This window comes from Homo sapiens, chromosome 15 (assembly GCF_000001405.40).
Source record: "Homo sapiens chromosome 15, GRCh38.p14 Primary Assembly".
Taxonomy (NCBI): domain Eukaryota; kingdom Metazoa; phylum Chordata; class Mammalia; order Primates; family Hominidae; genus Homo; species Homo sapiens.
In genome coordinates, this window is record NC_000015.10 from 43510650 (window position 1) to 43536968 (window position 26319).

Here is a 26319-nt window from a genome sequence, read left to right on the forward strand (position 1 = left end):
TTATCAGGGATACATCTTAACTAGAAGCTTCTTCCGGCGCCGAGGCAACCGCCTCGCCCCACCAATGGGTCCCCCAGAGACCCCACCCCCGCTCAAGTCTAAGTGGAAGCTCCCGCTGGTACTGGGGAGGGCGTGGTGGGAGGAAGGGGGCGGCCACCACCCTCTAGCCTGGCGAGACCGCAGAGCACGAGCTTCCAGCTCCGGCCCGCCCCTGCGGCGCCTGTGCCACGCCCCCTGACAGGCAGCAGCCAATGAACTGCACCTGCCGCCGGCCTTTAAGAGCCGCGCGCACTCTGCCTGCAGCGGAAGCTGCCGGACTAACACTCCGCGGGTGTTTCCATGGAGACCGAGGCCGAGCCTGCGCGGCCTCACGGCGTTGCCATGGAGACAACTCCGGGGCTGGGGCTCCGAAGTCCCGGCGCACCGCTGGCTCAGAACCCCGCGGAGCTGCTGTGCGAGGCCGGAGCCGCGGTGGCGGCTGCACGCTGGGACCTGCAGAAGCACTCTTTGCTAATTGTGATCGGCGATATCGGTACAGAGAGTCAGCTGAGGGCCGTGCGGGCCCACCTTGAACAAGGTGAGCCACTGTTCTGGCTGTGCTTCAGGCATCTCTACCCTGTGCTTCTCCGCCTTCTGCATTCAACTACCAATGCATACGTCTGCATCTCCATCCCTAGTGTGCACTTCCTGAGATCTGCGCCCTTGTCACCTGCATCTTCCATGCCATGTGTCCGTATCCTCTCGCTCTACTAACATCTCGCTTGCCCATCCTTACTGCACACTCCATGGCGTTCCGCAGTCTCCCTGAGGCAGCGGAGCTCTATGCAGCCCCTGGGGCCCCTCTGGTCACACCCTCCACCGCAGTGTTTTGGACCAGGTGTCCTGAAAGTCCTCACCATCCCTGGAGAATCCACGTCCCTATCTTGCTGTATCTTCTTTATGGTCCCTGAACCAGCACGGGGAGCTTTCTGAACGCCCCGTACAAATCTCAAATCTCTGAATGCCAGTAGCCAACCACTAAGTGACCTTCGTGGCTACCAGCTCCTAAGTCCTCACCTCCTTCCCCAGTGCTGTGCCTGTGGCTGTGGTGCAGTGCTGCGGAGCCACCTGCGGGTGGAAGCAAGCTGTGGAGGGCTGGGGACAAGGAAGGGAACACAGAAGGCGAACCTAGAATCCTACTTAGCTGTAAATGTGGGGAAGGTAGCCCTCAGTATCTGGGAATAGGCCCTTAGGTGTCACTTCCACCACAACTGGGGAACCTTACAAGAAAATTCCTACCTATAGACTCATTAATGACCGAGTTTAGTCTAAACTCTGTCCTTCTCCCTCTGGCTCAGGCAAAGCCTAGAAAAGCTGTAAACTGGGAGAAAGACACCATTACTAGCCACCTTTCTTTGAGACATCACTGAGGCTGATCATGGCAACTATCCATATACCCTCCCTCTCCTTACCTGTTCTGTGAACTTGAAAGTGTTCCTGCAGTCTCACCACCCTACAACCTGCAACCTTATCCAGAACCTTCTTTGTTTTTCTCCCACAGGGATTCTCTCCTGGAACATTGACCTGTCATCCTTTGACTTGAACCAACAGTTGAGACTCTTCATTACCCGGCACCTAGCTCACTTCTCCTCAGAGGTCAAAGGTTAGGACTAATGTTTTATTTCAGTCCTTTGGGTAAGAGCTGGTCACAGAGGTCCAGTCTCCCTGGGAGAAGTGGCCTTGCGGGAGGTTTGAGTGGAGGAGAAGGGAGGAACTTTATAGAGGAGGAAAATCATGGAATTCCATAGCTGTCCCCACATACCAAATATACTTTGCAGACATGGTTTGATACTGGAGGGAGACTGGAGAACATAACTTCTCCTTGAGAAGAGGGTTGTTTGTGGATAGCTGTTGACATGCACTAAAGAAATGAGGGACTCCTCTTAGTGATCAATCATCTCTCACGCAAAAATTCACTCTCTTCATTTGTGTTCCCCTTTCTGCATACCCCGGGTCTCCCTGCTTCCCTTTACAGACACCCCAGAATCCCCCATTCATCTTCCTTGACCCTTGTTTAGCATTTTTATTTAGGCTGCACAGGTTTCAGGGTTTCTGGTTCCTGCTTCGGCTTAGCCAACAGATCTCCAGGGCAGAGCAGAATCTTGGTACTTACATGATGATGGGCACCATCAAATCCAGAGTGGAAGGAGGGGCTCCTGAATTTACTGCTACAAGATCAAGTTGTACTCTGAGATTTGGCCCAGATCAAAGCTCACATAATGCAGTTTCCCATTCTGCTGGGTGGGAGGAATGGGTGGGTTAGAGATTTGAGAAAATAAGATGTTAGGCACTACCATTCCATGACAGATGTCTGTGAGGTGACTACGGAAAGCTCTACATGCTATTATAAAAGAACTAAGGCCGGGCACAGTGCTCACACCTGTAATCCCAACACTTTGGGAGGCTGAGGCGGGGAGATCACCTGAGGTCGGGAGTTCGAGGCCAGCCTGACCAACGGAGAAACCCCGCCTCTACTAAAAAATACAAAACTAGCTGGGCGTGGTGGTGCATGCCTGTAATCCCAGCTACTCAGGAGGCTGAGGCAGGAGAATCGCTTGAACCCGGGAGGCAGAGGTTGCAGTGAGCCAAGATCGTGCCATTGCACTCCAGCCTGGGCAACAAAAGTGAAACTCCATCTCAGGAAAAAAAAAAAAAGAAAAAGGAGCTAGGCATCTAGTCATGTTACTGGAAAATGTTGACACACCAATCCATCAGCTTAGTGGAATATAAAATCCATCCAGGTCAACAGCCACTGCAACTGAATGATTGAATTCATGTCTTATACAGATAATTCTCAATTACTCAGTATAGTAGTCACCTTTCCTTAATTATCTCTCCTCCTTTTCCACTGCTCCTAACTGCCAAATCTTTGATCACTTCCTGATCACTGATACTTATAGATGCTGCTAGGAAGTTGGAGAAAATAAGGCTAATATGACTAAAGCTCCATTAGCCTAGGAATATATACAGCAATTTTATATTAATATATGTGAGGCTGACATCTTCCTGATGTGACTGGCTTCCTGTAAAGCAGGCTACTCACTCTTTTGAGAATGTTTCTGTTTAGAATTACTCATGTCATGGCTTCCTCCATTTATCCCTAATGATGAAAATCGGCAGTTTTACCACTTAGTACTCCTAGGAGCTTTGGTGAAAGGCCAGATACAGGGATGACAGAGGATGAAATTAATGACTGAACAGAAGTTTGGGGATTATCTGCTGATGTTAATAATTCACACTGAATGCTCTAACCTTGTCCTTTTGGCTACAGAGACTTGAGAGTAGGCTGCTTTCTGGAATAATGTAAGAAATGAAAAGAAGTTAAACCAAAGTACTTAGCCATTCTTCAGATTAAGATGCAGCGATACTTGGGAAGACACTTACAGAGAGAACATAGTTATTCTCAGGCACTTCTTAGAAATGAGCATTGATATATAAACACCTACTAGGCCCTTTCCATCAAAGAGTTTGTCTGTGGTGTCCTCAAGGAGCTTAGGGCCATGTACCCTAGATCAGAGCTTACTTTGGCATACTGCATATTTTTAGGTTTGGACATTTTTATCATGGTCTGTCTATGTCACAGGAGAATAGTAGAGAATTTCCTGGAAAAACCCACACAGCTCAAGACAGCCACAGCCCCACCCCTGCTGGCTCCTCTTTCAGCTGTCCCCACAAACAACAGTCAGCCCAGAGCAGCTGCAGACACTGCCCCTCCCTCCAGCCTTCTGTTAGTGAGGACGCAAAGGGGACCAGGCAGCTGGGATGAGCTCAAGGGGATATGCTAGTGCCTTATGGCTTGACTACCCCACAGGCTGGGCCACCATTCCTATCACCTATCCTCAAGCCCTGGGCCAAAATGCTGAGAAAGCAGACAAAAATGTATCCTACAGTGACAAGGAGAGTGCACTTATTCCTAGGCACTGCCCCCTCCACATTGACATACCCACACACAGAAAAGAAGGGACCCTCTGATAAAGAGTCAGTGGCCCAGCTCCTTCTAGTGGTCAAGTCTGGTAAAAGCTTTCAAAGGTGATTTTTGCACCAGGTAGTCTCTCCAGTGGTGACTTTCTAACCCCTACAAAAAATCTGGATCTTCCGAGCATTCTAATACAAATTCAGAAACAATTAGGACAGTGGAAAACTGAGTTTCAATAACTCTCTGATTCTTTTACTATTGGATACCTATAGGAAATAGAAGGGGGCTTATAATTCATAACTAATATTCTAAGACTCTAAAAAACACAGGGCCGGGCATGGTGGCTTATGCCTGTAATCCCAGCACTTTGGGAGGCCGAGGTGGGTGGATCACTTGAGGTTAGGAGTTTGAGACCAGCCTGGACAACATGTTGAAACCCTCTTCTACTAAAAATACAAAAATTAGCCGAGGGTGGTGGTGCACACCTGTAATCCCAGCTACTCGGGAGGCAGGAGAATTGCTTGAACCCAGGAGACAGAGGTTGCAGTGAGCTGAGATCATGACATTGCAGTCCAGCCTGGGCGACAGAGCTAGACTCCATCTCAATAAATAAATAAATAAAAATACAGGCTGAGGGACCAGTCTGGAGGCCTTCGGTCTGACTCTCCATTTCCACTGACGGACTTAGGAAGTGATAGCTCTATTACTTCTACCAATACAACAGTTACCCTGAATTAATACAGCAGCTCATTAACCCCTGGAACCGGGGTCTGCATTGCTGTCTGAAATGGGAAAGCAAGGACATGAATAGGACTTCAAATCTCATACTGCAGGCATCTTTAGTTCTGGGTTTACCTGGGAGCTAAGAGTACTCCAGAGTTGATCTGGTCTGAGATCCTGATTTATGATTTCCTTGATCACCTAGATGACCTCTCAGAAATCTTCCACAAAAGGGAGAAAGACTTCCAGTGGCATTTGTACATTGCAGATTTGGAAGTCTAGGAATGAAGAAGCTTTTTTTTCATCTTTTATACAATTCAAACCTCACAGCATTATCGGAGGATGGTACTAATATTATACTCATTTCATAGTTTATGAAGTAGGCTCTGAGAGAGGTTAAGTCTCTTGTTTAGCAGCATGATTAGTAAAATGGTGGATCAAGTCTCAAATCCAGGGTTTCATATCTTACTTTGTAGCTCAGCTCAAGCCTCTCTTTCTTCTTTGGCATCTCACCATTTCATTGCAGCAGAGCCTAGGAATACAGCAGGTGGAGAGTTGGTTGTGGTGGGTAGCTGTTCAGAGGGTGAAGGCTGAAGGAAAACTCCACTGTGAGTTGGCACCATGCCCAGGGTGTGGCCCTTGGGGGTGGCAGCTGAGAATATGGGTGGGCTCTGTATTGGTCTGGGAAATGTTATTTTGTTCGTAAACTAAATGTCTACTTAAGTTTCCCTCCTAACACACTCCAGAAAGCCCTAGAAAGCAGGGAGGAGATAGAAGGCTTGAGGTGGGAGGAAATAAGAACGATGAAGTTGCAGAAGAGGGGTATTTCCCTTTTGTGATGCTCAGAACTCAGCCTGGTTTTCCCTGTGTATCTCTGCAGATGGCCGCTTCTACCCAAACGGGGTTGTTGCCATTGTCGCAGATTTGCATCCCCGGATCTAAGCAAGGATTGCTCCCCTTTTGTCCCCTCAACCCCCAAGAGTACTAGTGACTCAGCTCCTCCTCTCCTCTGGCTGCAATTAAGGGGGGATGGGGGATGCTGAGAGCACAGACTATTTTGGCTTCTCTGACCTTCAAAAGTAACTCTTGGCAGCCTGGGGCAAGGGTGGGGCTAGTGTTTGGGTGTGAGTGGGTGGCTGTGATTGTGAGGAAGGCCTTAGGAGCTGGCCAAACTGGGGAGGGTGGATGGGAAGAGGGCAGGGAAGGACTATGTAAGAGCATGAGCATCCTCGGGTTGGAAGGAAGTGCTACCACTCTCCAGATTCTTCCTTTGAGTCCTAGAGCGCTTTACTAAATCTGAGATGGAGGTAGAGACTAAGGGAAACAGGATCAACATTAGAAAGATCCAAATAATATAATATAGAAACAGCAAAGAGACAAGGAGAGAGCAAGAACCCAATCACCCTACAAAGTCATTATAGGGTTTTTTTAATCTAAAGAGTACTTCTGTTACATTTAATAATTGGCCTACAACCTTGCTTGGGCCGGAGGCCCTGGTGATCCTTCTTGGTCCTTGTTAACTCCTTCACTGTAAGGCAGAAAGCTCCCTGTCCCTTCAGGGACTTGTCTCTTCATATCCAATGACTCAAGAATCCCAAGAATCAGTGCCTGTGTGGTTACTGTGTTATGCTGCATTCCCATGAAACTTCATGTAGCTCTCAGGGTCCCTGTGCCCCACCCCAACAGGCTAGGGACCATGTGTCCACTCCGGAATTTCAAACTACCCTCTAACCCTAAAATAAGACTTATTTCTGCCCTCCTTGGTTTCTGTAGTGCTGAGGTTCAGAAGAAGGCAGCACATCTCTGCATCCCCAACCTTTGTCTTAAGCAGTTCCCCACACCTACCCCATGCTTTTGGGCCCCCAGCCTTTGTCTCCTGCTCCTCCAGGGACTGAAGGTCACTCCCTGGATCCATCTGAGGAGAGAGGCAGCAGATGGTTTCTAAGAGAAGGGGGAGAGCCCACGCAGCCCATGCCTCCTATAGCCTCGCTCTGTGCCCTAGCATGGGGCTTTGGTCTTTTGGCTGATGCCAAAAGAATATTTCCTAACTAAGCAGGGTTGGGAGAGAAAGGTCCTATGGGCCATAGGACATTGCAGAGGCTCCTTGAGCTGCTAGACAATCCCTCAGCCCCACAGAGCCAAGCAAAAGCACTGGAGCTCAGACGTCGTGAAGGCAAAGAAACAGTTAAGTCTCCAGTGCCTCGTCACGGACCAGCCCCTCTTCCCCGCCCTGGCGCCGCCCTCCTCATCAAGCACCCCCCTCCCCCCCCCACCGCCCGCCCCACTCCCACCCTAAGTGCTGCAGACTCTTCCCTGAAGCTGCCGGCTGAGGCCGGAGCTGCCGCCTCCATGAGAGGCTTCCTCCTACACCCCAGGGTAAGAACCGAACCAAAGGGCTTGGCATGTGGGGGTACACTGTGATAGGGAGGTGGGATGGGGGTCATGGAAAGGGTGCTGGTACCTAATCTGGCACATCTAGAACTAGCCCAGTGGCAGTAGGCAGGATGGGGAAATGGAGAGAGAAGATGAACGTTACTGGCTGTGGGCCCAGCCTGGACCCAGAACCAGAGGCCACCAGGGGCTGTGACAGTCCACCTCTCCAGCTGGGCGGGGATGGGAGAAATCAGCCTGGGACAGCAGCAGAGGGTGGTGCCACTGGCTCTGCCTGACAGCCCAGGATGCTGGAGGAGTTTGGGGGCTATGTTTCTGGTCAGAGGCAGAAGAATCTGAGAGAAAGGGGGATGTTATGGGAATGTGCCTAATAGGAGGGCCCCTGGGTGTCAGCTGCTGGATTGCTCAGCTGCTCCTATGCTGGGGGTGAGCAGGGCAGTGAGTTTTTGCCAAGTAAGGGAAGGTGGGGGACACTATGGAAAAGAAGGGAGGAAAGGGTCACTAAGACGTGGCACGCGCCTCCTTACAGACCAACCGGTTTGCAGTGGGCTCCCCCACCCTATTCCCTGCGGCTAGCTTTAGAATGGGACTCTAAACCCCCCTTTCTGGCCCTGCCGAGGCCACTCTGGAGACGGAGAACTCCCTCCCCAGCGGCTGCCCTGCATTTCCAGTCGTGTCAACCCCACAGGTTCCCAGTCTCAGCCCTACCCCCACCTCATCTCTGCTTCTCTTCCCAAGATGGGGGCTCTTGAACAGAGGAGCCAGTTTCTTCTCTCTCTCTGCATCCCCCCATCCCCACCCCCCATGCAGAAGCAGCCAAGAAAATGACTTGTCATGCTGGGGTGGGGGGTGGGGGCGGAGCTGGAGCCGGAGCTCAGCGCGCACACTCACACACTGCGGCAAACTGCAGCTGCCCAAACGGTCCCCCTCCCCTTCTGCCTCACTGCGGAGACACCTGCCCTCCTGCCTGCTCAGCCTCTGCACCGCAGCCCACCCCCCCCCGCAACTCCAGCACTGGCTGAGCACTGTGTGTCCCTGCCTCACAAGATGGTCCTCTCTAAAGAAAAAGGAAAAAACGAGTCAGTTCCCTTCAGTGAGAGAGCCAGGGGAGCAGAAGAAACGGCTTTCTCCCAGGCCTGAAAAAGAGAGGCACAGGATATAAACCATGTAATTTCAAGTCAGAACCACTCCCAGGGATAGAGTGAGGAACAGGACCTTATGCCAGGACAGGAACTGGGATCATAGAAGTCTTGTGGTGATAAATGGGGACCGTGAGGAATGGTTGGGGGCAGGGAGGGGTAGATAGAAAGCAAATCAGTGTGTGCTATAGATATTTGTCTTTCTGACCCTCCTACCTCAAATTTATGACCTTATTTGTGTGGAGGGAGCTCTTGTCTTTCTAAATCTGAACGACTTAAGGCTGGCAGCTTCCCGAACCTTGATATCCCTCACCTGCCCCAAGCCCTGCCCTTGCCTACATCTGAGGTGGCTCTTGTCCTCTGAATTTATCTCAAATGTTCCCTCAATTCTCAAGTAAATAGAAGGGAACCCTTGAATTCCCCTTTGGCCCAACCCACGCTGTATGGGGTTTGGTCTTCTGACACCATCGTTCATTTCCCCCACAGCTGCATCTGCAGCCCTGTGCTGCCAGATCTGCCTGATCCTGGCACCATGGCTCTGCCTCTTAACAAAGGCCCTGGCCCCAGGCTTCTCTTGTCCAAGCACCAGAAAGAAGAGAGAGCTGGGTCACAGAAGAGGGTCTAAGGGACAAATTATGGACCCTCCCACCAGTATCCTCCAGACAGCCCACTGCCATCTGTTGGATGCTCTGTGAGGTTAATGCCACTATGTACTGCAATTGGAAAGGGGATTTGGCAAGGAAGGGCGGGTGCAGGGGATGGCAGCATTCTTCTTCAGCATCTTCTGTCTCATTTGCCACTTTCTTTCTTTGCTGAATTGTTTGGTGTTTCATGTGAGGCTGGAGAAGGGAAATAGGGGATTTGGGGATGCCTTATCTTTCTCCATGGCCTGGGGAACACCCTGAATCTCTCCTTCCTTATTAATGTGTTTCTTGTTCAAGAACCTTTCACTCCCCATGCCCGTGGTAGAGGCCCCTAGGAGCGGGGCAAAGATGAGAGAAGAAACTGTTCACAATGAATAGGTTGTGGGGTAGTGAATCTGGCCTCTCTGAAACTTTGGGACATGAAGATCAGGTTGGAGAGGGTGTTGTGAAAACTTCCGAGCAGGAACAATATGATTGTGTGCATGTGTATTAGTGCGGGCTTGGCCTCTGAGGAACCAGAGGACAGAAAATGAAGTTATAGTCCTATGTCCATTCTTTGAATCATAAAACCCCAAAAATTTAGATAGCACAGGCTTCTCCGGGTCTTCTGGAACAGGAATTCTGGCCTTGGATGGCAAGAAGGGTGGGGAGTCTGTACCACACAGAAGCTCCTATTTCCTTATTTCTAGACACTCTGCGGGCAGGAAAGCCCAGGGCAGAGGCAAGCCAGGAAGGAGAAAGGGAAGTGAGGGTCATCATCCCAGGGGCCCTCTCTCCAGCTGAGCCCCCCATCCCCAGGCAGCACCAGGAGCTTAGTGCTCGAGAAGGACAAAAGCTTCTTGTCAATAGGGCAGTCTGAGGCCATAGTTCCAGGCAGAGGGATGGGGGCACAGGCAGCAGAGGGTGTGGTAGATGAAGGGAAGGAGAGGACAGCCAGTGTGGGAGAGGGGAGGTGGAAACCCTCTAAGGGAAGGGCTGGATGAGCCAGTTCCTAGACCTTACTCAGCAGTATCCAAGGTGGCAGGGCCTAAGGATACCTTCTCTTTCGTCTAAGCCCCATTTCCTGATAGCACATTCTTTCCTCTCCTGCACCACAATTTCTATACCTATTCTCAATATAAATTCCTACATCTCTCCCTCAGGCCAGAGGACCCTTTGCCACCAGAGTGAGATCCTAGAGACCATCATCCTGGTAAATCCCAGTGCAGACAGCATCAGCTCTGAGGTAAGGCCAGGGCCTGTGCCTTGCCAAACAGGCCTGGTGCAAGTGCTATACCCACCCTTGCCAGTGCTACCACTATTAGGCCAAGAATTCCTCTCTCTGCCATCTAAGCTGACGTATTGTCTCCAGCCCACTCTGGAGGTGTTATGAGGGACATAAGTTGGGAGCATGTTCTTGAGGTACTGAGGGGCCATTCATTGCCTTTCCCTGGATTTCCTATATCTGTGACCACTCCCCTTCTTCCATTCCAGGTTCATCATCTTCTTAGCAGCTCATCAGCTTATAAACTACTAATCTTGAGTGGGCAAAGTTTAGAGCCTGGGGGAGACCTCATCCTACAGAGTGGCACCTACTCATATGAAAACTTTGCCCAGGTCCTTCACAACCCCGAGGTAAGTTCCATGCCAGAGTGTCTGGGAGAAAGGGTAGCACTAGAGCTGTGGGAGGGATCTAAGGGAAAGTCTCATATTGCATGACCATGGGGGGCCCTGGCAGAAAGGTAAGAGTCCACCTTGGAAAGAGGTGAAGATTAGGGTACTGAATCTAAGTCAGACCAAAACAACTCTAGTGACCTGATCAGGTTTCTATCTCCTATTCTTCTAGATTTCCCAATTGCTCAGCAATAGAGACCCTGGGATACAGGCCTTCCTTACCGTGTCCTGCTTAGGGGAAGGTGATTGGAGCCACCTGGGATTATCCAGTTCCCAAGAGACCCTGCACCTCCGGCTAAACCCTGAGCCCACTCTGCCCACCATGGACGGCGTGGCTGAGTTCTCCGAGTATGTCTCTGAGACTGTGGACGTGCCATCCCCATTTGACCTACTAGAGCCCCCCACCTCAGGGGGCTTCCTCAAGCTCTCCAAGCCTTGTTGCTACATCTTCCCAGGTGGTCGTGGGGACTCTGCCCTCTTTGCTGTCAATGGTTTCAACATCCTGGTGGATGGTGGCTCTGATCGCAAGTCCTGTTTTTGGAAGCTGGTACGGCACTTGGACCGCATTGACTCGGTGCTACTCACACACATTGGGGCAGACAACCTGCCAGGCATCAATGGACTACTGCAGCGCAAAGTGGCAGAGCTAGAGGAGGAGCAGTCCCAGGGCTCTAGCAGTTACAGCGACTGGGTGAAGAACCTTATCTCTCCTGAGCTTGGAGTTGTCTTTTTCAACGTGCCTGAGAAGCTGCGGCTTCCTGATGCCTCCCGGAAAGCCAAGCGTAGCATTGAGGAGGCCTGCCTCACTCTGCAGCACTTAAACCGCCTGGGCATCCAGGCTGAGCCTCTATATCGTGTGGTCAGCAATACCATTGAGCCACTGACCCTCTTCCACAAAATGGGTGTGGGCCGGCTGGACATGTATGTCCTCAACCCTGTCAAGGACAGCAAGGAGATGCAGTTCCTCATGCAAAAGTGGGCAGGCAATAGTAAAGCCAAGACAGGCATCGTGCTGCCCAATGGGAAGGAGGCTGAGATCTCCGTGCCCTACCTTACCTCTATCACTGCTCTGGTGGTCTGGCTACCAGCCAATCCCACTGAGAAGATTGTGCGTGTGCTTTTTCCAGGAAATGCTCCCCAAAACAAGATCTTGGAGGGCCTAGAAAAGCTTCGGCATCTGGACTTCCTGCGTTACCCTGTGGCCACGCAGAAGGACCTGGCTTCTGGGGCTGTGCCTACCAACCTCAAGCCCAGCAAAATCAAACAGCGGGCTGATAGCAAGGAGAGCCTCAAAGCCACTACCAAGACGGCCGTGAGCAAGTTGGCCAAACGGGAGGAGGTGGTAGAAGAGGGAGCCAAGGAGGCACGTTCAGAGCTGGCCAAGGAGTTAGCCAAGACAGAGAAGAAGGCAAAAGAGTCATCTGAGAAGCCCCCAGAGAAGCCTGCCAAGCCTGAGAGGGTGAAGACAGAGTCAAGTGAGGCACTGAAGGCAGAGAAGCGAAAGCTGATCAAAGACAAGGTAGGGAAAAAGCACCTTAAAGAAAAGATATCAAAGCTGGAAGAAAAAAAAGACAAGGAGAAAAAAGAGATCAAAAAGGAGAGGAAAGAGCTCAAGAAGGATGAAGGAAGGAAGGAGGAGAAGAAGGATGCCAAGAAGGAGGAGAAGAGGAAAGATACCAAACCTGAGCTCAAGAAGATTTCCAAGCCAGACCTAAAGCCCTTTACTCCTGAGGTACGTAAGACCCTCTATAAAGCCAAGGTCCCTGGAAGAGTCAAAATAGACAGGAGCCGTGCTATCCGTGGGGAGAAGGAGCTGTCTTCTGAGCCCCAGACACCCCCAGCCCAGAAGGGAACTGTACCACTCCCAACCATCAGTGGGCACAGGGAGCTGGTCCTATCCTCACCAGAGGACCTCACACAGGACTTTGAGGAGATGAAGCGTGAGGAGAGGGCTTTGCTGGCTGAACAAAGGGACACAGGACTAGGAGATAAGCCATTCCCTCTAGACACTGCAGAGGAGGGACCCCCAAGTACAGCTATCCAGGGAACACCACCCTCTGTTCCAGGGCTGGGACAAGAAGAACATGTGATGAAGGAGAAAGAGCTTGTCCCAGAGGTCCCTGAGGAACAAGGCAGCAAGGACAGAGGCCTAGACTCTGGGGCTGAAACAGAGGAAGAGAAAGATACCTGGGAGGAAAAGAAGCAGAGGGAAGCAGAGAGGCTCCCAGACAGAACAGAAGCCAGAGAGGAAAGTGAACCTGAAGTAAAGGAGGATGTGATAGAAAAGGCTGAGTTAGAAGAAATGGAGGAGGTACACCCTTCAGATGAGGAGGAAGAGGACGCGACAAAAGCTGAGGGTTTTTACCAAAAACATATGCAGGAACCCTTGAAGGTAACTCCAAGGAGCCGGGAGGCTTTTGGGGGTCGGGAATTGGGACTCCAGGGCAAGGCCCCTGAGAAGGAGACCTCGTTATTCCTAAGCAGCCTGACCACACCTGCAGGAGCCACTGAGCATGTCTCTTACATCCAGGATGAGACAATCCCTGGCTACTCAGAGACTGAGCAGACCATCTCAGATGAGGAGATCCATGATGAGCCGGAGGAGCGCCCAGCTCCACCCAGATTTCATACAAGTACATATGACCTGCCCGGGCCTGAAGGTGCTGGCCCATTCGAAGCCAGCCAACCTGCCGATAGTGCTGTTCCTGCTACCTCTGGCAAAGTCTATGGAACGCCAGAGACTGAACTCACCTACCCCACTAACATAGTGGCTGCCCCTTTGGCTGAAGAGGAACATGTGTCCTCGGCCACTTCAATCACTGAGTGTGACAAACTTTCTTCCTTTGCCACATCAGTGGCTGAGGACCAATCTGTGGCCTCACTTACAGCTCCCCAGACAGAGGAGACAGGCAAGAGCTCCCTGCTGCTTGACACAGTCACAAGCATCCCTTCCTCCCGTACTGAAGCTACGCAGGGCTTGGACTATGTGCCATCAGCTGGTACCATCTCACCCACCTCCTCACTGGAAGAAGACAAGGGCTTCAAATCACCACCCTGTGAGGACTTCTCTGTGACTGGGGAGTCAGAGAAGAGAGGAGAGATCATAGGGAAAGGCTTGTCTGGAGAGAGAGCTGTGGAAGAGGAAGAGGAGGAGACAGCAAACGTAGAGATGTCTGAGAAACTTTGCAGTCAATATGGAACTCCAGTGTTTAGTGCCCCTGGGCATGCCCTACATCCAGGAGAACCAGCCCTTGGAGAAGCAGAGGAGCGGTGCCTTAGCCCAGATGACAGCACAGTGAAGATGGCTTCTCCTCCACCATCTGGCCCACCCAGTGCCACCCACACACCCTTTCATCAGTCCCCAGTGGAAGAAAAGTCTGAGCCCCAAGACTTTCAGGAGGCAGACTCCTGGGGAGACACTAAGCGCACACCAGGTGTGGGCAAAGAAGATGCTGCTGAGGAGACAGTCAAGCCAGGGCCTGAAGAGGGCACACTAGAGAAGGAAGAGAAAGTTCCTCCTCCCAGGAGCCCCCAGGCCCAGGAAGCACCTGTCAACATTGATGAGGGGCTTACAGGCTGTACCATTCAACTGTTGCCAGCACAGGATAAAGCAATAGTCTTTGAGATTATGGAGGCAGGAGAGCCCACAGGCCCAATTCTGGGAGCAGAAGCCCTTCCCGGAGGTTTGAGGACTTTACCCCAAGAACCTGGCAAACCTCAGAAAGATGAGGTGCTCAGATATCCTGACCGAAGCCTCTCTCCTGAAGATGCAGAATCCCTCTCTGTCCTCAGCGTGCCCTCCCCAGACACTGCCAACCAAGAGCCTACCCCCAAGTCTCCCTGTGGCCTGACAGAACAGTACCTACACAAAGACCGTTGGCCAGAGGTATCTCCAGAAGACACCCAGTCACTTTCTCTGTCAGAAGAGAGTCCCAGCAAGGAGACCTCCCTGGATGTCTCTTCTAAGCAGCTCTCTCCAGAAAGCCTTGGCACCCTCCAGTTTGGGGAACTAAACCTTGGGAAGGAAGAAATGGGGCATCTGATGCAGGCCGAGGATACCTCTCACCACACAGCTCCCATGTCTGTTCCAGAGCCCCATGCAGCCACAGCGTCACCTCCCACAGATGGGACAACTCGATACTCTGCACAGACAGACATCACAGATGACAGCCTTGACAGGAAGTCACCTGCCAGCTCATTCTCTCACTCTACACCTTCAGGAAATGGGAAGTACTTACCTGGGGCGATCACAAGCCCTGATGAACACATTCTGACACCTGATAGCTCCTTCTCCAAGAGTCCTGAGTCTTTGCCAGGCCCTGCCTTGGAGGACATTGCCATAAAGTGGGAAGATAAAGTTCCAGGGTTGAAAGACAGAACCTCAGAACAGAAGAAGGAACCTGAGCCAAAGGATGAAGTTTTACAGCAGAAAGACAAAACTCTGGAGCACAAGGAGGTGGTAGAGCCGAAGGATACAGCCATCTATCAGAAAGATGAGGCTCTGCATGTAAAGAATGAGGCTGTGAAACAGCAGGATAAGGCTTTAGAACAAAAGGGCAGAGACTTAGAGCAAAAAGACACAGCCCTAGAACAGAAGGACAAGGCCCTGGAACCAAAAGACAAAGACTTAGAAGAAAAAGACAAGGCCCTGGAACAGAAGGATAAGATTCCAGAAGAGAAAGACAAAGCCTTAGAACAAAAGGATACAGCCCTGGAACAGAAGGACAAGGCCCTGGAACCAAAAGATAAAGACTTGGAACAAAAGGACAGGGTCCTAGAACAGAAGGAGAAGATCCCAGAAGAGAAAGACAAAGCCTTAGATCAAAAAGTCAGAAGTGTTGAACATAAGGCTCCGGAGGACACGGTCGCTGAAATGAAGGACAGAGACCTAGAACAGACAGACAAAGCCCCTGAACAGAAACACCAGGCCCAGGAACAAAAGGATAAAGTCTCAGAAAAGAAGGATCAGGCCTTAGAACAAAAATACTGGGCTTTGGGACAGAAGGATGAAGCCCTGGAACAAAACATTCAGGCTCTGGAAGAGAACCACCAAACTCAGGAGCAGGAGAGCCTAGTGCAGGAGGATAAAACCAGGAAACCAAAGATGCTAGAGGAAAAATCCCCAGAAAAGGTCAAGGCCATGGAAGAGAAGTTAGAAGCTCTTCTGGAGAAGACCAAAGCTCTGGGCCTGGAAGAGAGCCTAGTGCAGGAGGGCAGGGCCAGAGAGCAGGAAGAAAAGTACTGGAGGGGGCAGGATGTGGTCCAGGAGTGGCAAGAAACATCTCCTACCAGAGAGGAGCCGGCTGGAGAACAGAAAGAGCTTGCCCCGGCATGGGAGGACACATCTCCTGAGCAGGACAATAGGTATTGGAGGGGCAGAGAGGATGTGGCCTTGGAACAGGACACATACTGGAGGGAGCTAAGCTGTGAGCGGAAGGTCTGGTTCCCTCACGAGCTGGATGGCCAGGGGGCCCGCCCACACTACACTGAGGAACGGGAAAGCACTTTCCTAGATGAGGGCCCAGATGATGAGCAAGAAGTACCCCTGCGGGAACACGCAACCCGGAGCCCCTGGGCCTCAGACTTCAAGGATTTCCAGGAATCCTCACCACAGAAGGGGCTAGAGGTGGAGCGCTGGCTTGCTGAATCACCAGTTGGGTTGCCACCAGAGGAAGAGGACAAACTGACCCGCTCTCCCTTTGAGATCATCTCCCCTCCAGCTTCCCCACCTGAGATGGTTGGACAAAGGGTTCCTTCAGCCCCAGGACAAGAGAGTCCTATCCCAGACCCTAAGCTCATGCCACACATGAAGAATGAACCCACTACTCCCTCATGGCTGGCTGACATCCCACCCTGGGTGCCCAAGGACAGACCCCTCCCCCCTGCACCCCTCTCCCCAGCTCCTGGTCCCCCCACACCTGCCCCGGAATCCCATACTCCTGCACCCTTCTCTTGGGGCACAGCCGAGTATGACAGTGTGGTGGCTGCAGTGCAGGAGGGGGCAGCTGAGTTGGAAGGTGGGCCATACTCCCCCCTGGGGAAGGACTACCGCAAGGCTGAAGGGGAAAGGGAAGAAGAAGGTAGGGCTGAGGCTCCTGACAAAAGCTCACACAGCTCAAAGGTACCAGAGGCCAGCAAAAGCCATGCCACCACGGAGCCTGAGCAGACTGAGCCGGAGCAGAGAGAGCCCACACCCTATCCTGATGAGAGAAGCTTTCAGTATGCAGACATCTATGAGCAGATGATGCTTACTGGGCTTGGCCCTGCATGCCCCACTAGAGAGCCTCCACTTGGAGCAGCTGGGGATTGGCCCCCATGCCTCTCAACCAAGGAGGCAGCTGCCGGCCGAAACACATCTGCAGAGAAGGAGCTTTCATCTCCTATCTCACCCAAGAGCCTCCAGTCTGACACTCCAACCTTCAGCTATGCAGCCCTGGCAGGACCCACTGTACCCCCAAGGCCAGAGCCAGGGCCAAGTATGGAGCCCAGCCTCACCCCACCTGCAGTTCCCCCCCGTGCTCCTATCCTGAGCAAAGGCCCAAGCCCCCCTCTTAATGGTAACATCCTGAGCTGCAGCCCAGATAGGAGGTCCCCATCCCCCAAGGAATCAGGCCGGAGTCACTGGGATGACAGCACTAGTGACTCAGAACTGGAGAAGGGGGCTCGGGAACAGCCAGAAAAAGAGGCCCAATCCCCAAGTCCTCCTCACCCCATTCCTATGGGGTCCCCCACATTATGGCCAGAAACTGAGGCACATGTTAGCCCTCCCTTGGACTCACACCTGGGGCCTGCCCGACCCAGTCTGGACTTCCCTGCTTCAGCCTTTGGCTTCTCCTCATTGCAGCCAGCTCCCCCACAGCTGCCCTCTCCAGCTGAACCCCGCTCGGCACCCTGTGGCTCCCTTGCCTTCTCTGGGGATCGAGCTCTGGCTCTGGCTCCAGGACCCCCCACCAGAACCCGGCATGATGAATACCTGGAAGTGACCAAGGCCCCCAGCCTGGATTCCTCACTGCCCCAGCTCCCATCACCCAGTTCTCCTGGGGCCCCTCTCCTCTCCAATCTGCCACGACCTGCCTCACCAGCCCTGTCTGAGGGCTCCTCCTCTGAGGCTACCACGCCTGTGATTTCAAGTGTGGCGGAGCGCTTCTCTCCAAGCCTTGAGGCTGCAGAACAGGAGTCTGGAGAGCTGGACCCAGGAATGGAACCAGCTGCCCACAGCCTCTGGGACCTCACTCCTCTGAGCCCAGCACCCCCAGCTTCACTGGACTTGGCCCTAGCTCCAGCTCCAAGCCTGCCTGGAGACATGGGTGATGGCATCCTGCCGTGCCACCTGGAGTGCTCAGAGGCAGCCACGGAGAAGCCAAGCCCCTTCCAGGTTCCCTCTGAGGATTGTGCAGCCAATGGCCCAACTGAAACCAGCCCTAACCCCCCAGGCCCTGCCCCAGCCAAGGCTGAAAATGAAGAGGCTGCGGCTTGCCCTGCCTGGGAACGTGGGGCCTGGCCTGAAGGAGCTGAGAGGAGCTCCCGGCCTGACACATTGCTCTCCCCTGAGCAGCCAGTGTGTCCTGCAGGGGGCTCCGGGGGCCCACCCAGCAGTGCCTCTCCTGAGGTCGAAGCTGGGCCCCAGGGATGTGCCACTGAGCCTCGGCCCCATCGTGGGGAGCTCTCCCCATCCTTCCTGAACCCACCTCTGCCCCCATCCATAGATGATAGGGACCTCTCAACTGAGGAAGTTCGGCTAGTAGGAAGAGGGGGGCGGCGCCGGGTAGGGGGGCCAGGGACCACTGGGGGCCCATGCCCTGTGACTGATGAGACACCCCCTACATCAGCCAGTGACTCAGGCTCCTCACAGTCAGATTCTGATGTCCCGCCAGAAACTGAGGAGTGTCCGTCCATCACAGCTGAGGCAGCCCTCGACTCAGATGAAGATGGAGACTTCCTACCTGTGGACAAAGCTGGGGGTGTCAGTGGTACTCACCACCCCAGGCCTGGCCATGACCCACCTCCTCTCCCACAGCCAGACCCCCGCCCATCCCCTCCCCGCCCTGATGTGTGCATGGCTGACCCCGAGGGGCTCAGCTCAGAGTCTGGGAGAGTAGAGAGGCTACGGGAGAAGGAAAAGGTTCAGGGGCGAGTAGGGCGCAGGGCCCCAGGCAAGGCCAAGCCAGCGTCCCCTGCACGGCGTCTGGATCTTCGGGGAAAACGCTCACCCACCCCTGGTAAAGGGCCTGCAGATCGAGCATCCCGGGCCCCACCTCGACCACGCAGCACCACAAGCCAGGTCACCCCAGCAGAGGAAAAGGATGGACACAGCCCCATGTCCAAAGGCCTAGTCAATGGACTCAAGGCAGGACCAAGTAAGTATATCATGAAACTTGGCAGAGAGTGTGGGTTAGGGCTGGGTGTGGGCTGGTCAGACTTCAGGAGTGGGACAGAGGGGAAGGTTGCCAAAAGGGTTCTACTTTTCCTCTACAATGAATCCTGGCTTGTCTCTACAGTGGCCTTGAGTTCCAAGGGCAGCTCTGGTGCCCCTGTATATGTGGATCTCGCCTACATCCCGAATCATTGCAGTGGCAAGACTGCTGACCTTGACTTCTTCCGTCGAGTGCGTGCATCCTACTATGTGGTCAGTGGGAATGACCCTGCCAATGGCGAGCCAAGCCGGGCTGTGCTGGATGCCCTGCTGGAGGGCAAGGCCCAGTGGGGGGAGAATCTTCAGGTGAGTAGCAAAGGACACCAAGGAAGTAGTCTGGTCAACGCTCACTCAGAGGCAGTAGTGGAACACAGTCCCTATTTATTAAAGGATGGGCCTTTTCTAAGGGCAGCAGAGCTGCTTCTGAGACCATGAGGTGCCCCTTCCCCCTCACCTACCTTCCCTTTATGTTCTCACATCAGACATATCTTATCTCCCTTCTAGGTGACTCTGATCCCTACTCATGACACGGAGGTGACTCGTGAGTGGTACCAACAAACTCATGAGCAGCAGCAACAACTGAATGTCCTGGTCCTGGCTAGCAGCAGCACCGTGGTGATGCAGGATGAGTCCTTCCCTGCCTGCAAGATTGAGTTCTGAAAGAGCCGCCCTCCCTTCCCCAAGGATCCACTCCCCCAGCTCCTTTAGAGAATGGCTACTGCTGAGTCCTTTGGGGTTGAGGGAGATGGGAGCTAGGGGGAGGGGAGGGAGATGTCTTGTTGTGGGGACTTGGGCTGGGCTAAATGGGAGGGGTTGTCCCTCCCCATCATCCATTCCTGTGAGGTGTCTCAAACCAAAGTTAACAGGGAGAGGATGGGGGAGGGGACAAATTAGAATAGGATAGCATCTGATGCCTGAGAACCCTCTCCTAGCACTGTCAAATGCTGGTATTGAATGGGGACTGAGGATGGGTCTCAGAGAGCAACCTCCTCCCTCGTAGAGGGAGATTATATCCCCAACTCCAGGGACCTCTTTATCTCAATCTATTTATTTGGCATCCTGGGAGGGATTTCCAATAGTAATTTATGTGACCTGGGGCAGGATACCGTCAGTGAGGTGCCCAGAGCTGCACCCTTTCCTCCATTTCCCATCCCCCATCTCCTCAACCACCAGGGTCTGAGTTCTAGCAGGGTCCTGGGGGTATCCCACTGCTATACTGTTCTACTGCTTCCCTCAGTATCTGAATGTCTCAATTTAAAACTTGAAGCTCTTTAGACCAATAGACTGGTGAGAGGAGAAAGGAGCTTATCCCCCAGACCCTGCTTTATACCATTCACATCCCAGGGCTGTGTCCAGACAGCACAAAACGGCAAGGAGAGCCCAAGCCCCAATGCCAGAATTCTTCCAAACTCCCTGACTCTTTGAAGTTTTTACTCACCCCATTTCAATTATCCTGATCCCTTCTCATCCCCTGCTTGGCTTCTCTGCATGTGGTCATCTGCTGTGGCTTGGTGTTTAATGGGTTAAAAATAAGCCACTGCCTGACATCCCAACATTTGACACCCCAGCAATGTGTGACTCCCCCAACATTCCACTATGCCATCCTGCAGCTGAAATGGGAACACTGGCTGCCTCTCCAAACCCGCTCTTGGACAGAGGATCTGGGAGGTGGAAGCCAGGCCAGAGGACTTGGGGAAAATGAGATGGAGGAAGGAAAAAGGGAGAAGCTGAGCCACAGCTTAACTCCTACAGAGTGAAATGAAAACGGGCTGAAAATACCACCCCAGGAGAGGACCTCGCCCCAAGCAAGCCAGTGAGCAGCCCTGCCAGACTACTGCCAGACTGAGAAACCCAGAAGCTGGTAGTCATGTGGGCTTGCCTTCTCTGCCAAACGACTGGGAAACCAAAATGAGCCCACCTTGTGTTCTTCCTAGCTCCACCCTCCCCGTGCTGCTGTGTTCTGCTCCTCCCCACGCTTCCCTGCTATAGTTCCCAGCTGCTGTAACGGAGCCACCTCCAACTCTAACAATAAACCAAGTTCATTGCAGATAGTGTAGTGCTGCTTAGGCTTTTTCTGACTCCATACATGCTTAGTTACTGGGCCCTGGCTTCTACCTCTCTGCTTCAACCAGTATTGAATTTATCTTGGAAGACTCCAATGCTTTTGATTACTGGAAACACTTGTGCCTGAGTATGAAGAATAGGAGCCTAGGGTGGATACATACATCTGGTCTGGGGGAGGGAAGAGGGGCAGAAGGCCTCCTGGGAAGGGGATATGCATTCCGTGGGGTCAAGAGTTGAGGACCAAATAACCAGGATCAGCTACCCTGGACAGCCTCTTGGGCTAAAGGGGTAAAAAGCTGAAGGACCCTAAGAGATCCAGAGCCTAATGAGGTTGGAAACAACTCTCCTTGTGCAGTCAGGATTTCCATGGAGTAAAACGGTCGACTTTCCTCCTCCATGGAAACCCTTTATAGTCCTAAGTATGTCAGAAGTGGCCAGGTTATGAATGTGTATATTTGGGGAGGGGCATATTCTAGCCCTCCCACTGTTCTGGGCTCTCTCATGGTAAAGATGTCAAAGGAGCAGAGAAAGGGCATAGCCCCTTTATATAAACTCCTCCTGACACTCCATCAGAGTGAAAAATTAACAGGATGATTCCAAGAACTTGGTGAGAAGGCATGTACCCTCTGGTGCTTCACAGAGAGGGAACCTCTTTCCAGTCCCCCATCCAACACTCTACTTACTCAATAAAGACCTTTTGGGGACCGGGCGTGGTGGCTCACACCTGTAATCCCAGCACTTTGGGAGGCCGAGGCGGGCAGATCACCTGAGGTCAGGAGTTCGAGACCAGCCTGGCCAACACGGCGAAACCCCGTCTCTACTAAAAATACAAAAAAAATTAGCTGGGTGTGGTGACGGGCATCTGTAATCCCAGCTACTCAGGAGGCTAAGGCAGGAGAATCGCTTGAACCCAGGAGGCGGCAGTTGCAGTGAGCTGAGATCGCACCACTGCACTGTAGCCTGGGTGACAGAGCGAGACTCTGTCTCTAAATAAATAAATAAATACCTTTTGAGATAGTGGGTTAACTGCCATAGGCTCCTCTTGGGATGCCTGATCTCTCTTTTTTTTTTTTTTTTTTGGAGACAGAGTCTCATTCTGTCACCAGGCTGGAGTGCAGTGGCGCGATCTTGGCTCACTGCAACCTCCACCTCCTGGATTCAAGCAATTCTCCTGCTTCAGCCTCCCGAGTAGCTGGGATTACAGGCATGTGCCACCATGCCCAGCTAATTTTTATATTTTTAGTAGAGATGGGGTTTCACCATGTTGGCCAGGATAGTCTCAATCTCTTGACCTCATGATCCACCCACCTCGGCCTCCCAAAGTGCTAGGATTACAGACAGATGTGAGCCACCACGCCCAGCTGATCTCTATATTTTTATAGTCTATTTTTGGATGCCTGATCTCTGTATTTTTACAGCCCATTCCTGCTCAACTATAATGGCTTTTGACCGATTCAGATTAATCAGTTACAGACACAATTGACTCATAGTCGTATTCCTTTTTTTTTTTTTTTGAGACAGAGTCTTGCATTTTTGCCCAGGCTGGAGGGCAGTGGCGTGATTTTGGCTCACTGCAACCTCTGCCTCCAGGGTTCAAGTGATTCTCCTGTCTCAGCCTCCCGAATAGCTGGGATTACAGGTGTCCACCACCATGCCTGGCTAATTTTTGTGTTTTTAGTAGAGACAAGGTTTCACCATGTTGGCCAGGTTGGTCTCCAACTCCTGACCTCAAATGATCTGCCCGCCTTGGCCTCCCAAAGTGCTGGGATTACAGGTGTAAGCCACCGTGCCCAGCCTATATTCATTCTTGAATTCACAAGGACATCACCATCATCCATCACCACCATTCTCATTAGTTTATATTTATTGAGCACTCATAATGTTCCAGCCCCCGACTCCAATGACCGCATTACCCCTCCTACCCACTCCCATTCCCATCCCTGGATCTTTGGAAAAAGCTTCATAATCATATCTGGCCCTCAGACACAATGATATAAGGACAAATTTCTTGGGGACCCTGCAGTGTTTGGTCTTTGGCCAGTCTGTCCCTGGCACAACTACAGAAATAAATATATATATATATATTTATTAAACCTTTGCTTGTATCTGTACAATATTGATCTCTGCTGATTGCTTAAAATAGAACCTGATTATCTCTACTACTACAGCATCTCCTAAGCCAAACAGCCCCACCACAGAGGAGGCCCACTTTCACAGACTGGCTAAGAATCCTCTAGAGCATTTTAAGTAGTTGCTCTGAATTTTGCACAGCAGTCTAATACCTACTTTTCCCTAGAGCTATTGCCCAGAGGAACAGGACTGAGGCAGAAGGGGCACTTGGGGATGATATGGAAGGATCTATAAGGCAAGTCTAAAGATTTAGTGGCCATGTCAGATGTTTGGGGAAGGGACTCTATTTTCCAGACATTTCAGATAGCCATCCCGGGCTCACCTGAGGAGTGCTGGCAAAGACAAGAGTCCCCTGAATGCACATATGGTCTAAGCGTACCTTGAGAAGTCGTGAACATTTCCCCAGAAAAGTGAAGACCCTAGAGTCCCCTCTTTTGCATTTGCTGTCGCCAGATGGTGTCTTCAGCAGTGAAGCGGCATTTCCTTTAACAATCTGTGATTTCCTAGGATGCTCAGAGAAGGCTGGGTAATGACAGACCAACCCACCCCAAGGAAATCCTATTCAAGTCTAATGGCTAAGTGAGGAGCCAATGGCTTCTTCGAACCTAAAACTGGCTCCTCCTCAACCACAGCTCTGGCACAGGTATGCTTCATACAAAGAGAACTACTTCCCCAGACACCGCTGGTGAGAGCTGGCCAGTGAGTTAGCCAACAGAAAAGGTTGCTGGCTCAAATGGCTGGTATAGTGTGATACCACTAATGAGAAAATTAATCACATGTTGCTGGTGGAAGGGGTGAGTGCTGGTCATGGGCTAGAGACTGGCTCTGAGGGTTTGGATCACCAGATGGATGCTGGGCTTGAGGAATACCCTCTCCAGGCAGCTGATCAATCACTTCAGGGACCACCCAGGACTTCTAATTTATCTCCTCAGGGACCTCCTGGGCCTGCAGATCAATCTCCTCAGGGAACTCTTGGGATGGTTTATCAATCTCAGGGATGCCCTGAGATAACAGATTGATCGCAGAAGTCTCCTGGGCCAGCCTGCCAACCTCCACAGAGAACTCCTGGTATGGCTGGATGACCTCCTCAGGGATCTCTTCAGCTGGGCTGCCAACTTCTACAAGGGTTTCCTGGACCAAGCTACCAACCCCTACATGGAACTTATGGACCAGCTTGCCAACCTCCACAGAGACCCCCTGGCATGGCTGGCTGACCTCCTCGGAGTTCTCCAGACATAGCTGGCAAACTTCCTCAGAGACTTTCTGGCACAGTTGGCTGGACTTCTGGCATGGCTGGCTGATGTGAGGGACCTCCTGGCATGTGTGGTTACCATTGTCATGGTTCTCCTGGCATTGCTGGCTGATGTCAGGGACCTTCTGACATGGCTGGCTGAGCGCCTCAGAAATGTCCTGGCATGGCTGGCTGATGTCAGGGACCTCCTGACATGGCTGGCTGACCTCCTCGTATGGCTGGCTGGTTTCCATAGGTGGCACCTGTGGGGACTGATTTGGTTCAAAAAGCTCTTGCTCCCCTTCTATGGAGAGCTCTTGTGCTCCACTCCCAGGGGTCTCCTGGAGCAGCCCAAGGCCTTGATGTTCTTCAGCCACGTGTGAATTTAGGGAGGGTTGATCACTGAAGCCAAATTGGGAGTTACCATCTACTGTAGTAGGGGAAGAAGGACCAGCACTGGACACAGTGCTAGAAGGGCCACTGCTGTCTGTAAAGCAAAGTCAAGAGATCAAGTTAGAGAAGCTGGAAGAGTAGGCTCTACCCTGTGCAGATAGTTCAAATGCTAGAATTGTTGGCCTATGCTACTTATGTCTTGAGGGAAGAGTGTCCAAATTCTTCCTAAGTTAAGCAGAGACTCCTAAGTTTGCTTACCTCAGGAACTGTCACCCTGGCCTAATGTATACTTTGAGAGTAACAATAAGGTACATCTAAGACTTCAGGAGAGAGTGCTAAGACCCACTTCATCTGGTTCTTTCACAAATACACTCCCATCCCAATTCCAAGTTCCCAAGGCCTCTCATTCCTACTTTGGAAGCATATGAATACTTTAGCCCAGTGGTTCATAAACAAAATCATGAAAAAATTTTTTAAAATACTAATTTCCAGTTTTCAACTCCAGAGATTCTAATTCTATAGGTTTAGCGTAAAGGTGTAGTTTGGAGGAGGGAGGAGGAAGAAGGCAATATAATTTTGTTGGAACACTCTCATTTGAATCTGATGTACACCTTCTGTTAAGAATCATTCTTTAAAGCAATCAATGTATTTCTGGGGCAGAGGTAATCATTATTTATAGCCCAAATGATAAGTTGGCAGAAGAATGTAGAAAAACCATGTAAATCAGAACAATAGGAAAGAAAATGGTTTACCTGGCTGGGTGCGGTGGCTCACGCCTGTAATCCCAGCACTTTGGGAGGCCGAGGCAGGCAGATCACTTGAGGTCAGGAGCTCTAAACCAGCCTGGCCAACATGGCAAAACCTTGTCTCTACTAAAAATACAAAAATTAGCCAGGCGTAGTGGCGGCTGTCTGTAATCCCAGCTACTCAGGAGGCTGAGGCAGGTGAATCACTTGAACCCCAGAGGTGGAGGTTGCAGTGAGCCGAAATTGTGCCACTATACTCCAGCCTGGGCAACAAAGCAAGACTCTGTCTCAGAAAAAAAAAAAAAAAGAAAATAGTTTACCCAAAAATGGAAGATGGCCATGGAATTTCTACATGGCAGTTCTTAACCTTTCTAGGGGTCAGTGGCCCCTTTGAGGTACTAAGTCAGATATCTTCCAGGAAAAATCTATATAAGAATATTCACACTAATCTTTACATGTGATTCCTGAAGCTCACAGACCCTACCCTGAAACCACATCTATGGATCCAGAGTTAAGACGCTTGTAAGTCTTGGGACATACAATGTTACAGGCTTGTGCATATTATATACACGGAAAACATTTAAAAACTGATTTCCTACATCCTGACAGTAGTGTAATAAAGACCTCAGAGTCTTCAATTACACTGTGGGATGATTCCTACTCCATCCTCTACTGCTTCATCGCCCTCTAGTACTTGACTAACCTACTTTTCCCTTGGTAAACATCATTTTTGTTGATAATATTATAACGATATATTAAAGCACTATGGTATCAATAATGACAGATTCTGGGAAAAGGGAACATCAGAACATATTGCCATTGAAGAAAACCTTGAAAAGT

At 51.5% G+C, this 26319-nt stretch overlaps 2 protein-coding genes across 58 annotated transcripts in view, besides 6 other annotated features; one reads left to right on the top strand and one right to left on the bottom strand.

Annotated features, from left to right (window-relative positions):
- Positions 181-340: a silencer, noted in NCBI's record as "silent region_6386". NCBI's record gives its function as "represses an Ori minimal core promoter by ATAC-STARR-seq in GM12878 lymphoblastoid cells {active_cell/tissue: GM12878}" and the evidence as "EXISTENCE:reporter gene assay evidence [ECO:0000049][PMID:35858748]".
- Positions 305-20962, top strand: MAP1A (microtubule associated protein 1A). Of its 2 annotated transcripts, NM_001411089.1 has the most exons (7): positions 305-577; positions 1541-1642; positions 9992-10074; positions 10323-10463; positions 10675-18859; positions 19001-19221; positions 19420-20962. In NM_001411089.1, the coding sequence occupies exons 1-7, from the start codon at positions 340-342 to the stop codon at positions 19573-19575; spliced, it is 9126 nt and encodes a 3041-aa protein (NP_001398018.1). In that variant the 5' UTR covers positions 305-339; the 3' UTR covers positions 19576-20962. The 2 variants fall into 2 exon arrangements, with proteins under 2 accessions (NP_001398018.1, NP_002364.5); NM_002373.6 differs by lacking the exons at positions 305-577; positions 1541-1642 and adding an exon at positions 6959-7051.
- Positions 441-660: an enhancer, noted in NCBI's record as "active region_9315". NCBI's record gives its function as "activates an Ori minimal core promoter by ATAC-STARR-seq in GM12878 lymphoblastoid cells {active_cell/tissue: GM12878}" and the evidence as "EXISTENCE:reporter gene assay evidence [ECO:0000049][PMID:35858748]".
- Positions 7434-8077: an enhancer, noted in NCBI's record as "H3K4me1 hESC enhancer chr15:43810281-43810924 (GRCh37/hg19 assembly coordinates)". NCBI's record gives its function as "activates a minimal SCP1, AML or CMV promoter by ChIP-STARR-seq in primed H9 embryonic stem cells {active_cell/tissue: H9 hESC(primed)}" and the evidence as "EXISTENCE:reporter gene assay evidence [ECO:0000049][PMID:30033119]".
- Positions 17065-17697: an enhancer, noted in NCBI's record as "H3K4me1 hESC enhancer chr15:43819912-43820544 (GRCh37/hg19 assembly coordinates)". NCBI's record gives its function as "activates a minimal SCP1, AML or CMV promoter by ChIP-STARR-seq in primed H9 embryonic stem cells {active_cell/tissue: H9 hESC(primed)}" and the evidence as "EXISTENCE:reporter gene assay evidence [ECO:0000049][PMID:30033119]".
- Positions 18679-19179: an enhancer, noted in NCBI's record as "H3K4me1 hESC enhancer chr15:43821526-43822026 (GRCh37/hg19 assembly coordinates)". NCBI's record gives its function as "activates a minimal SCP1, AML or CMV promoter by ChIP-STARR-seq in naive H9 embryonic stem cells {active_cell/tissue: H9 hESC(naive)}" and the evidence as "EXISTENCE:reporter gene assay evidence [ECO:0000049][PMID:30033119]".
- Positions 19180-19680: an enhancer, noted in NCBI's record as "H3K4me1 hESC enhancer chr15:43822027-43822527 (GRCh37/hg19 assembly coordinates)". NCBI's record gives its function as "activates a minimal SCP1, AML or CMV promoter by ChIP-STARR-seq in naive H9 embryonic stem cells {active_cell/tissue: H9 hESC(naive)}" and the evidence as "EXISTENCE:reporter gene assay evidence [ECO:0000049][PMID:30033119]".
- Positions 22826-26319, bottom strand: part of PPIP5K1 (diphosphoinositol pentakisphosphate kinase 1) — a 56779-nt gene continuing 53285 nt past the window's right edge. For 55 of the 56 annotated variants that reach the window (XM_047433387.1, XM_047433384.1, NM_001354396.2 and 52 more), the window contains one exon: positions 22826-24827. In XM_047433387.1, the coding sequence (XP_047289343.1) occupies positions 24025-24827 (803 nt within the window). In that variant the 3' untranslated portion in view covers positions 22826-24024. Of the gene's footprint in view, positions 24828-25485; positions 25606-26319 lie in introns of all 56 variants that reach the window. The other variant, NM_001190214.2, reaches the window with a different exon arrangement.